Source organism: Homo sapiens, chromosome 12 (assembly GCF_000001405.40).
Source record: "Homo sapiens chromosome 12, GRCh38.p14 Primary Assembly".
In the NCBI taxonomy this organism is placed as follows: domain Eukaryota; kingdom Metazoa; phylum Chordata; class Mammalia; order Primates; family Hominidae; genus Homo; species Homo sapiens.
This window is the reverse complement of record NC_000012.12, coordinates 107,723,790-107,736,436: the sequence shown is the minus strand read 5'-3', so window position 1 is coordinate 107,736,436 and position 12,647 is coordinate 107,723,790. Positions and strand designations below refer to the sequence as shown.

At 40.9% G+C, this 12,647-nt stretch overlaps 1 protein-coding gene across 2 annotated transcripts in view; it reads left to right on the top strand.

Moving 5' to 3' along the window:
* PRDM4 (PR/SET domain 4) overlaps nt 1-3,566 on the top strand; it is a 28,267-nt gene extending 24,701 nt beyond the window's left edge. For both annotated transcript variants that reach the window (NM_012406.4, XM_005268593.2), the window contains exon 12: nt 1,915-3,566. In NM_012406.4, the coding sequence (NP_036538.3) occupies nt 1,915-2,227 (313 nt within the window). In that variant the 3' untranslated portion in view covers nt 2,228-3,566. The remainder of the gene's footprint in view (nt 1-1,914) is intronic.
* Nucleotides 3,567-12,647: the final 9,081 nt, after the last annotated feature.

Sequence of the window (12,647 nt, the reverse complement as noted above, 5' to 3'; positions counted from 1 at the left end):
GGCCTCTGCCTTAGAAACTTCTCCCTCCAGATGCCTGCATGTCTTCTTCCCTCCATTCAGGTTTCTGCTCAAATGTTATCTCCTCAGGAGGGCCTTCCTTGACTATCTTATCTAAAATAGGACCCCTTCACTTTTACCTGGCTTCGTGTGTTTTCGTAGTCTTTATTGCTATATGATACCACGTTACACATTTGTTTATGCTATAATCTGTCCACTTAGAATGTAAGCTTCATGAAAGCAGGGACTTAGTTTACCCACATCCTATAGCCCTAGCATCTAGAACAGTGCCTGGCATAATTAGACACAGTAAATATGTGTTGAATAAACATCTAAAAACCATCAGAGTAGAAGATGAAAAGTCAGACTTTTGGTAGGGGTTTTGTTGTGGCCTTGGGCAAGTTCCTTAGTAGTTTTTATGCACATGATGTTTCCCATCTGCAGAATTAAGAGGTTGGATTAGATTGGTGGTTTTAAAACTGCTCCAGGGAATTCTAAGGGTTCTTCAGTGCCATCTGTTGCTAGAAGAGGATGAGAGAAATGCTAAGGAAGCCAGGCTTCAGAACGCCCGACTGCACCCTCTCACTCCTTCCAGGATTTTATTAATAACCTGCTTTAACTGTTTCATATTGGGCTTTCATAAAGACATGGGGTTCAGCTACTCAAAAAAAAAAAAAAAGCTAAAAAATTCCTGGTCTGTGTGATCTCTAAGGTTCTTTTCAGCTCTGAAATGTCTAGGCCAGGGTTACTCAAACCTTGACATTATTGACATTTTGACCGGGTTAATTTTTTGTTGTGGGGCTGCCCTGTGCATTGTAGAATGGTTAGCAGCATCCTTGGCCTTTTCCTACTAGATACTAATTATACCACCCCTCCCCAGTATAACAATCAGAAAGGACTCCAGACATTGCCAAATGTCCCCATAGAGGCAGTCGCCCCTACTTGAGAACCACTAGTCTAAGAAAAGGACAGAAAAATGGTAATTCCATAAAAGTGGCATCCAGGGAATACAAATAACGGTGTAATGAGATACCATTATGTACTGGCTAATTGGCAGACATTTTCAAATTTGAGTCTTCCAGTTGAGAATATGGGACAACCAGAACCGTCAATGATGGATGTGTATATTGAAACAACTACATTGGAAAACCGTTTGTCATTATCTTGTAAAGTTGAAGATGTGCATATCCTTTGATTTAGCTATATAGTTCTTGGGTATGTGCCCTAGAGAAACATGTATTGCAGAGCACCATACAAGTATAAAAATGTTCAAATGCCAGGTACAGTGGCATGCACCTGTAGTCCCAGGTACTTGGGAGGCTGAGGCGGACAGATCACTTGAGCCCAGGAGTTCAAGGCTGTAGTGCATGATGATCACACCTGTGAATAGCCATTGCACTCCAGTCTGGGCAACATGGTGGGACCCTGTCTCTAAAAAATAATAATAAAAATTTAAAAAAATTTAAAAACGTTCTAGCACTTTTGCTTGTGATAATAAAAAACTGGAAACCACCAAAACATTCATTAGCTAGAGACAAATCCAGTACCATAGATAAGTTGTGGTGTATTTGTATATTTGTAAATAGTATACAGCAGTGGAAGGGAACAAACAACTGATACAGCAGCTTGAATGAATTTTATGAGCATCATACTGAGAGAATGCAGCAAGACAAAAGAAATACATATAGAATTTACATAGAATTTGAGAATTTACATAGTATTCTAAAACAGGAAAAATGAGCCTACACTGTTTTAAACTATACATGTTTTATGAGTCTTCTGTATATCACCTATGCAAAAGCCTGATTCAGAAGGATAGAGCTGCTCTGACAAAGGCCTGCGGCTATGAAGAATAAGTGTTGCCTCAGTTGTTATTTGTAACCCCAAATCAAATGTTTTTTCTTGTGTTCCTCTTAGAGAACGCCAGATCAAGTGTCCCAAGTGTGATAAGCTGTTCTTGAGAACAAATCACTTAAAGAAGCATCTCAATTCTCATGAAGGAAAACGGGATTATGTCTGTGAAAAATGTACAAAGGCTTATCTAACCAAATACCATCTCACCCGCCACCTGAAAACCTGCAAAGGGCCCACCTCCAGTTCGTCAGCACCAGAGGAGGAAGAAGAGGATGACTCAGAAGAGGAAGATCTAGCAGACTCTGTGGGGACAGAAGACTGTAGGATTAACAGTGCTGTGTATTCAGCGGATGAGTCTCTTTCTGCACATAAATAAAAGGAAAAGAAACAAGCAATTTTGGATGAAAATGCAAATGGAAAAATACACATAACCAGTTATCTACTATAATGGTTTTTATATAAAATGGTTCCTGATTTATTTTCAGCCAGTAATCAAAACAGACTGGGAATGAATAAAGCACTTACAGAAGAGTATCCTAATGAAAACACTTTAAAACAGATTGGGAAAACTGAGCATGTGTCCTGTTTTAAGTGGTGGACTGGGAGGGAAGTGTCAACTTCTGAGGTCTTTATTTACATGATAATCTGGGAGATGCATTTATGCCTGAATCAAAGCTGCCTTCTGCTCAAACAAATCAGATTTATTTCACATTCTTCCATTATTCCATTTTCCTGCTGGTCCTGTGACTTGGTAACATTCTAAACGGTCCTTGCCCCATAGCCATCCTGATTGCTGATAGTGTTTTATGCAGACTCTTGTGACTTATACTCACCACAGAATGGATTGGGACACAGCAGCATAAGTGTGCTACTTGGCAGCTAGTAAGTTTAAAGCAGGACCTGCCTTAACTGCTCCTGGCCACTTGGAAGTTTAGGGTAGATCTTGTTTTCCAAAGTTTCGGCAGGTGCCTGGAGGGCAAATAAAAAAGCAGCAGTCAGTCAGTAGTCAGTGATGGAGAGAACAAGAGGAGAGATGCCTGGCCTCTGCCCAAGAAATTAGCTTTGATGGAAGCCTGAGCAAGTCACCTGGTTATTGTAACGTGGAGATCTTTGTAGGTTTAGACATGGCTCCCTGTCTCCAGTAAACATCCAGCCATTCAGACAAAGGGGGCCTGGAGATACAGAGAGCCCAAATAATGCCTGCTGGATTGTCTCCTGATGAGTACATGTGGACTCACCTGAGGAAGGGAAGGAAGGGAATAATCTTTTATGTTTCATTTACCTTATGAAAAGTGTTAAAACATTGCCAACTCAAAATAACATTATTTAATGCATGTGCAAAGTTAGGTCTTCCCAGTTGTCTCAGTGCTGAGGAACCTCATCAGAGAAGCATGGAAGATGCCAAAGGATTTTTGGAAGGTAAAGAAGGCTGAATAGTGACCACATGGGCCTGTTTTCAGGGTCCCAGCTTAGTTAAGTCACCCATGCACCTGGTCATTGTGTCTCCCATGCACATCCAGCGTTTCTCAGAAGCAGACCCACCCTTAAGTTGACAGGATTGATGGAACATGCTCTCCTGCTCAAGGCACAACCTCTGGGCTGGAGTAGAGGACTCTGGTGGGAAGGTTTTGCTGCTAATGTATTTATGGAATGAATGTATTTCATTCAAATCTGTATTCCTCTAGGAAGGATTAAAATTAAACTTTTTTAAAATACAGGATTCCTCTGGTAGTCTCATTTCATGGAGGAAGGAGATGAGTGAGTCTTCTAGGGAAAGTCAAGTACAATTTGAATCTTTCTGAGGTTAGAAGAAGAGAGCATTTCTAGAGTATTTTAGCTTTTGAGATCATATTCTTATTGTTTCTGCTGTTAGTACTTAAGACAAACTGCTTCCTGTGCTTCCAACCCTCTTCTGCCCTGTTCCTGCCTAAGGTATGCCTTTACTCTGTTACCTCCTTGGAGAAATGTGGCAGGTCTGCAGTGGAGGGTTGGGGGATGTGTTGCGGATGGTTAGGGTTGGCTGCTGACACTGGGTCGTGACGCCTCCCTCAGGGCAGCTCTGGTTCCTAGGGCAGCTTCAAACTCAGCATTTTGCCAAAGGCATCCAGCTGGCTGGTTCCCCCATACCCAGGAAACCACTGGTACTGGGACTCTAAGCTCCCTTTCTTCCTTTATCTCAGTAGCACACACTGGGTTCACTTCCTTCATTCCCAAGACTGAAATGATGCCCAAGATAGTTACGCCTAGTGTCAGAGGAACACAAACAGCAGAGGAAGCTTGGAAACCTTTTTAGTGAAGTTGTAGCTGTTAGTGCTTAGTATTTACAACTGTCTCTCCATTTTTTTACCTCTTAATTTTAAATTCTAAGTCATTTTCACAAGATGAATAAATAAGTAAGTGCCCTTTGACATGAATGTTTTCAGCCTTTTCTGCCCATTTTGGGTGGCCTTGCTGCTGTTGAGTAAATGGTCACGGTGAGAGGCAGGATGTGTATGTAGGCTCTGGAGCCCTGCAGAATGTTCTCTAGTGTGGGCTTTGCTGTGTGATGAAGGTTTGTAACCTTGGCCAAGTTATGTAAGCTCTCTATGCCTCTTCCCTTAACTGTAAATGGAGAGTATTAAGAGCGCCGCTTCATTATACTGTTTAGATGTTAAGTTCATACGTGTCAGTGGCTCCCACAGTGCTCAACATAAACAGTAGCTGATATTCTTTAGTTTCCCATTAGTCTACATTTTTCATTTTAACATAGGTTTCTACACTAAAAAAAATTGACATATAGAATATCCAAGAAGCTCTAGATTTTAGTAATATAAATAAAACTGGAATAATTTGAGTTTTCAAGGCCAAAGCCTATAAACTAGTTCAGAGTATTCTTGCAGCTCACTGTATGCTTGGCATTTCCTTCTCAAAAAGGTCAGTGGCTCATAATCCTGGCATTTTTGTTGTGCTGAGATTCTCAGAGGGCAAAGAGGTAACAGGAAGTAGAGTCTTCGTCAGCCTTTTCACGCTTGACCTGTGTCCCCGCTTTCTAGTAAACACTCCTTTACCTGTGTCTCAAGAAGCATAAACATGCCAGAGGCTGTCAGCACCTCATCAAGTATGTAAACTTGATGATCTGATCACCAAACTTGGAGGCACACACTAAGGAATGACATATCTCCATATACACAAGTGATTATGGTCTGTTACAGGTGAACACACCGCCCCCTGCCAACACCACCAGATTCATATGGTGAAGTCCTAACCTCCAGTAATCTCAAAATGTGATTGTAGTTGGAGATACGGTTTTTAAAGAAGGAATTAAGTTAAAATGAAGTCCTTAAGTTAGGACCTAACCCAATATGACTGGTGTTCTTAGAAAAAGAAAATTTGGACAAAGCCTTATACAGAGGGAAGATGATGTGAAAACAGGGAGAAGACATTTCCAAGCCCAAGGAAAGAGGCCTGGAACAGGTCCTTCCCTCACAGCCCTCTGAACAGTCCTGCCATTGCTTTGATCTCAGACTTCCAGCCTCCAGAACTGGGAAACAATACATTTCTGTTTAGTCTTCCCGGTCCATGGCAATTTGTTGTGGCAGCCCTGGCAAACTAAACAGTCTAACCAGATATACGTTCTTGATAATGATTGCTTAAAGGGGAGCAGCTTCCAGTATAGTGACTTCAGTTTAACCCCAGCTTTACAGATTAGCATGAGCAATATAAAGGCAGGCACCATTTCTAGTGGTGTATATTGCCGCCAGCAAATTTCCCTACTACTGAAAGGGGTGAAACCACTCCTTAACAGCTTTTTTGCTCCTTAGCTTTTCTTGCATATGCACACTGAGGATCATTAGGCACTCAGGCCTGTGTAGTCCTCAGACAAGGAGAGTGGTCTTTTCAAAAACCATTTATTAAGTGCTGGTACACTTTAAGGCATTGTAGGGGGAACAGAAAAATAACTAGGGCTCTGCTCCTGCCTTTGGATACAGGTGATCTGCCTGCCTCCGCTTTCCAAAGTGCTGGGATTACAGGCATGCGCCACCGTGCCTGGCCCAGGCTACAAGTCTTTAAAGGAAATCACATAAACTCTAAACTATTCCATTTAGACAATGCATATTTATATCCACAAGTTAGGGAGCACATGGAAAGCATGCTTTGTTCTTTGTGTTTTCTGCCCCCAGCACCTGCCTCCTCACCCTGCAGCACATCTTGTGCTGCTACATACTTGCTGAGGCTCAGGCTGGGCATGGGCTTTGGGGTTGGGCAAGCATCAAGATCAGTTTAGGGCCAGATTTGGGAAAGAAAAATCACCTAAGGTGAAAGTCACTTACTTTGGGAAATTTTACTTCTTGAATGATCTGTTAATTGGTTAATAGACACAACTTCTGGCCCCTCTTAGCTAGCACTGCCTAGGACCTTGTGACACATTTGCTTGCAAATATGCTTTCTAGTGGTAGTACATTTTAATTTATAGTTTTACTCCTCATAGGGCATTATAAAAGTAGGCTTTACCCTCAGTTGTCTAGATGTTGAAAATGAAGTTCAGAAAAATTACACTTTTCACACCTGTAATCCCAGCACTTTGGGAGGCAGGTGGATCACTTGAAGTCAGGAGTTCCAGACCAGCCTGGCCAACATGGTGAAACCCTGTCTCTACTAAAAATACAAAAATTAGCTGGGCATGGTGGTGGGAGCCTGTAAATTCCAGCTACTCAGGAGGCTGAGGCAGGAGAATCACTTGAACCCAGCAGGCGGAGGTTGCAATGAGCCAAGATTGTGACACTGCACTCCAGCCTGGGCAACAAAGCAAGGCTCTATCTCAAAAAAAACAAAAAAAAAAAACCAGTTTGTTGCATTTCATATTCACTGATTGGCTGCCTGGGAGCACTTTTTAAAAATGCCTGTATTTCTCTTCCAGGGCTCTCTTCCATGTTAATCTACGTGAAACATTATTTAGACGCTGCTGTTGTTCTGACACACCTCATTTCAGGATGCATCACACTGCTGCTTACACTTAGTTGCATATTTGCACTGGGGTTGTGGAATCTGTTTTTTATAAGCATAGAACACCTTTGTGGGTCATTGCTCTTAGTTGATTAGAGCCAACTACCACTCAGTTATGACAAGTGAATTATTCAAAAGCATGTGAGATGACATAATATTCTGTTAAGGGACTTATTCAAGATGCCTGACCCAGATGTGCTGTAGCAAAAAGAAAGGGAGCCAGGCTACGTTGCATCTAAAATTCCCACCGTGCCAGTGTGCAAATAGTATGTTTCATAGCAAGAGAAAAGCAGGATGGTCTATTCATCCAGCATTGTTTGTTTCTTTGGGAAAGGAACACGTTAGACTTTAAGGGCTGGAGAAGTGTGTATTTAAGGAAAAGCAATGGCTTGTGACCAGGAAATTTGATTTTAAGCTGAGAAGTAACCATTCGAAAGAAAGGAAGAGAACTCGAGTAACTTAAGTAAGTTTATTATAAGTTAAGTGCTTTAACTTCACAATAACAACCTTGTAGGGTAGGTTTTAATATCTTTGTTTTACCGAGGCCACAGAATGTCCCAGAAGTTAATGCAGTTACTGAAGTGTGAGATTGGAAAGTAAGGCCTCCTAGCTCTGCATTCGATGCTTTTTCTACTGTATTCTGTGGCATAGAGTTATTAGCATGATTACGGAAAAGTCATCTAGCTTGGGTGGCTCAGTACTCTCATTTTGGTGGTTGATAATAATCAAGTTTTTTAAATTGATTAGTAAGACTTGAGAAATGCCCTGAGACTATGTATGTATGGTTGCTTGCTATGAATGCTGGGAAAAGACATTCTGAATATATCAAGTGGTAAGGCATCCCAGTTAGCTAGATTTTTGTAACACAAAAAGCAAAATCCTATTACTTCATACTAAATCTAACAAGGGGTTGGGCACGGTGGCTCACACCTGTAATCCCAGCAATTTGGGAGGCCGAGGCGGGTGGATTTCTTGAGGCCAGGATTTCAAGATCGGCTTGGCCAACATGGTGAAACCCCATCTCTACTAAAAATACAAAAATTAGCCAGGTGTGGTGGCATATGCCTGTAATCCAGCTAGTCAGGAGGCTGAGGCAGGAGAATCGCTGAAGCCCAGGAAGTGGAGGCTCCAGTGAGCCAAGACCACTCCACTGCACTCCAGTCTGGGCAAGGCAACGAGACTGCGTTTGAAAAAGAAAAAAAAAAATCTAATGAGGGAGACTACTAAATAAGTAATTACAAAATTTTAAAAGGAGTAAGACAAATTACATTCTAACACAGCAGGGGTATCTTATGCAGGCTACAGAGATGAGGGGAGGCTTCTCAAAGGAAATGACACTTTTTTTTTAAATTATACTTTTAAGTTCTAGGGTACATGTGCACAACGTGCAGGTTTGTTACATATGTATACATGTGCCATGTTGGTGTGCTGCACCCATTAACTTGTCATTTACATTAGGTATATCTACTAATGCTATCCCTCCCCCCTCCCCCCACCCCATGACAGGCCCTGGTGTGTGATGTTCCCCTTCCTGTGTCCAAGTGTTCTCATTGTTCAGTTCCCATCTATGAGTGAGAACATGCAGTGTTTGGTTTTCTGTCCTTGTGATAGTTTGCTGAGAATGATGATTTGCATCTTCATCCATGTCCCTACAAAGGACAGGAACTCACCCTTTTTTATGGCTGCATAGTATTCCATGGTGTATATGTGCCACATTTTCTTAATCTAGTCTATCATTGATGGACATTTGGGTTGGTTCCAAGTCTTTGCTATTGTGAATAGTGCTGCAATAAACATACGTGTGCATGTGTCTTTATAGCAGCATGATTTATAATCCTTTGGGTATATACCCAGTAATGGGATGGCTGGGTCAAATGGTATTTTTAGTTCTAGATCCTTGAGGAATCACCACACTGTCTTCCACAATGGTTGAACTAGTTTACAGTCCCACCAACAGTGTAAAAGTGTTCCTATTTCTCCACATCCTGTCCAGCACCTGTTGTTTCCTGACGTTTTAATGATCACCATTCTCACTGGTGTGAGATGGTATCTCATTGTGGTTTTGATTTGCATTTCTCTGATGGCCAGTGATGATATTTTTTCATGTGTTTGTTGGCTGCATAAATGTCTTCTTTTTAGAAGTGTCTGTTCATATCCTTTGCCCACTTGTTGATGGGGTTGTTTGTTTTTTTCTTGTAAATTTGTTTGAGTTCATTGTAGAGTCTGGATATTAGCCCTTTGTCAGATGAGTAGATTGCAGAAACTTTTTCCCATTCTGTAGGTTGCCTGTTCACTCTGATGGTAGTTTCTTTTGCTGTGCAAAAGCTCTTTAGTTTAATTAGATCCCATTTGCCAATTTTGGCTTTTGTTGCCATTGCTTTTGGTGTTTTAGACATGAAGTCCTTGCCCATGCCTATGTCCTGAATGGTATTGCCTAGGTTTTATTCTAGGATTTTTGTGGTTTTATGTCTAACATTTAAGTCTTTAATCCATCTGGAATTAATTTTTGTATAAGCTGTAAGGAAGGGACCCAGTTTCAGCTTTCTACATATGGCTAGCTAGTTTTCCCAGCACCATTTATTAAATAGGGAATCCTTTCCCCATTTCTTGTTTTTGTCAGGTTTGTCAAAGATCAGATGGTTGTAGATGTGTGGTATTATTTCTGAGGGCTCTGTTCTGTTCCATTGGTCTATATCTCTGTTTTGGTGTCAGTACCATGCTGTTTTGGTTACTGTAGCCTTGTAGTATAGTTTGAAGTCAGGTAGCATGATGCCTCCACCTTTGTTCTTTTGGCTTAGGATTGACTTGGCAATGTGGGCTCTTTTTTGGTTCTATAGGAACTTTAAAGTAGTTGTTTCCAATTCTGTGAAGAAAGTCATTGGTAGCTTGATGGGGATGGCATTGAATCTATAAATTACCTTGGGCAGTAACGCCGTGTTCACGATATTGATTCTTCCTATCCTTGAGCATGGAATGTTCTTCCATTTGTTTGTGTCCTCTTTTATTTCGTTGAGCAGTGGTTTGTAGTTCTCCTTGAAGAGGTCCTTCACATCCCTTGTAAGTTGGATTCCTAGGTATTTTATTCTCTTTGAAGCAGCTGTGAATGGGAGTTCACTCATGATTTGGCTCTCTGTCTATTATTGGTGTATAAGAATGCTTGTGATTTTTGCACATTGATTTTGTATCCTGAGACTTTGCTGAAGTTGCTTATCAGCTTAAGGAGATTCTGGGCTGAGACAGTGGGGTTTTCTAGATATACAATCATGTCATCTGCAAACAGGGACAATTTGACTTCCTCTTTTCCTAATTGAATACCCTTTATTTCTTTCTCCTGCCTGATTGCCCTGGCCAGAACTTCCAACACTGTGTTGAATAGGAGTGGTGAGAGAGGGCATCCCTGTCTTGTGCCAGTTTTCAAAGGGAGTGCTTCCAGTTTTTGCCCATTCAGTATGATATTGTCTGTGGGTTTGTCATAAATAGCTCTTATTATTTTGAGATATGTCCCATCAATACCTAATTTACTGAGAGTTTTTAGCATGAAGGGCTATTGAATTTTGTCAAAGGCCTTTTCTGCATCTATTGAGATAATCATGTGGTTTTTGTCTTTGGTTCTGTTTATATGCTGGATTACGTTTATTGATTTGCGTATGTTGAACCAGCCTTGCATCCCAGGGATGAAGCCCACTTGATCATGGTGGATAAGCTTTTCGATGTGCTACTGGATTCGGTTTGCCAGTATTTTATTGAGGATTTTTGCATCGATGTTCTTCAGGGATATTGGTCTAAAATTCTCTTTTTTTGTTGTGTCTCTGCCAGGCTTTGGTATCAGGATGATGCTGGCCTCATAAAATGAGTTAGGGAGGATTCCCTCTTTTTCTATTGATTGGAATAGTTTCAGAAGAATGGTACCAGCTCCTCCTTGTACCTCTGGTAGAAATCGGCTGTGAATCCGTCTGGTCCTGGACTTTTTTTGGTTGGTAAGCTATTAATTATTGCCTCAATTTCAGAGCCTGTTACTGGTCTATTCAGAGATTCAACTTCTTCCTGGTTTAGTCTTGGGAGGGTGTATGTGTCGAGGAATTTATCCATTTCTTCTAGATTTTCTAGTTTATTTGCATAGACGTGTTTATAGTATTCTCTGATGGTAGTTTGTATTTCTGTGGGATCGGTGGTGATATCCCCTTTATCATTTTTTATTGCGTCTATTTGATTCTTCTCTCTTTTCTTCTTTATTAGTCTTGCTAGCGGTCTATCAATTTTGTTGATCTTTTCAAAAAACCAGCTCCTGGATTCATTGATTTTCTGAAGGGTTTTTTGTGTCTCTATCTCCTTCAGTTCTGCTCTGATCTTAGTTATTTCTTGCCTTCTGCTAGCTTTTGAATGTGTTTGCTCTTGCTTCTCTAGTTCTTTTAATTGTGATGTTAGGGTGTCAATTTTAGATCTTTCCTGCTTTCTGTTTTGGGCATTTAGTGCTATAAATTTCCCTCTACACACTGCTTTAAATGCTATAAATTTCCCTCTATACACTGCTTTAAATGTGTCCCAGAGATTCTGGTATGTTGTGTCTTTGTTCTCATTGGTTTCAAAGAACATCTTTATTTCTGCCTTCATTTCATTATGTACCCAGTAGTCATTCAGGAGCAGGTTGTTCAGTTTCCATGTAGTTGAGCGGTTTTGAGTGAGTTTCTTAATCCTGAGTTCTAGTTTGATTGCACTGTGGTCTGAGAGACAGTTTGTTATAATTTCTGTTCTTTTACATTTGCTGAAGAGTGCTTTACTTCCAACTATGTGGTCAATTTTAGAATAAGTGTGATGTGGTGCTGCGAAGAATGTATATTCTGTTGATTTGGGGTGGAGAGTTCTGCAGATGTCTGTTAGGTCCGCTTGGTGCAGAGCTGAGTTCAATTCCTGGCTATCCTTGTTAACTTTCTGTCTCATTGATCTGTCTAATGTTGACAGTGGGGTGTTAAAATCTCCCATTATTATTGTGTGGGAGTCTAAGTCTCTTTGTAGGTCTCTAAGGACTTGCTTTATGAATCTGGGTGCTCCTGTATTGGGTGCATATATATTTATGATAGTTAGCTCTTCTTGTTGAATTGATCCCTTTACCATTATGTAATGACCTTCTTTGTCTCTTTTGATCTTTGTTGGTTTAAAGTCTGTTTTATCAGGGACTAGGATTGCAACCCCTGTCTTTTTTTTGTTTTCCATTTGCTTGGTAGATCTTCCTCCATCCCTTTATTTTGAGCCTATCTGTGTCTCTGCACGTGAGATGGGTCTCCTGAATACAGCACACTGATGGGTCTTGACTCTATCCAATTTGCCGGTCTGTGTCTTTTAATTGGAGCATTTAGCCCATTTACATTTAAGGTTAATATTGTTATGTGTGAATTTGATCATGTCATTATGATGTTATCTGGTTATTTTGCTCGTTAGTTGATGCAGTTTCTTCCTAGCAGGGATGGTCTTTACAATTTGGCATGTTTTTGCAGTGGCTGGTACCAGTTCCTTTCCATGTTTCATGCTTCCTTCAGGAGCTCTTGTAGGGCAGGCCTGGTGGTGACAGAATCTCTCAGCATTGGCTTGTCTGTAAAGGATTTTATTTCTCCTTCACTTATGAAGCTTAGTTTGGCTGGTTATGAAATTCTGGGTTGAAAATTCTTTTCTTTAAGAATGTTGAATATTGGCCCCTACTCTCTTCTGGCTTATAGAGTTTCTGCCAAGAGTTCCGCTGTTAGTCTGAGGGGCTTCCCTTTGTGGGTAACCCAACCTTTCTCTCTGGCTGCCCTTAACATTTTTCCCTTCATTTCAAC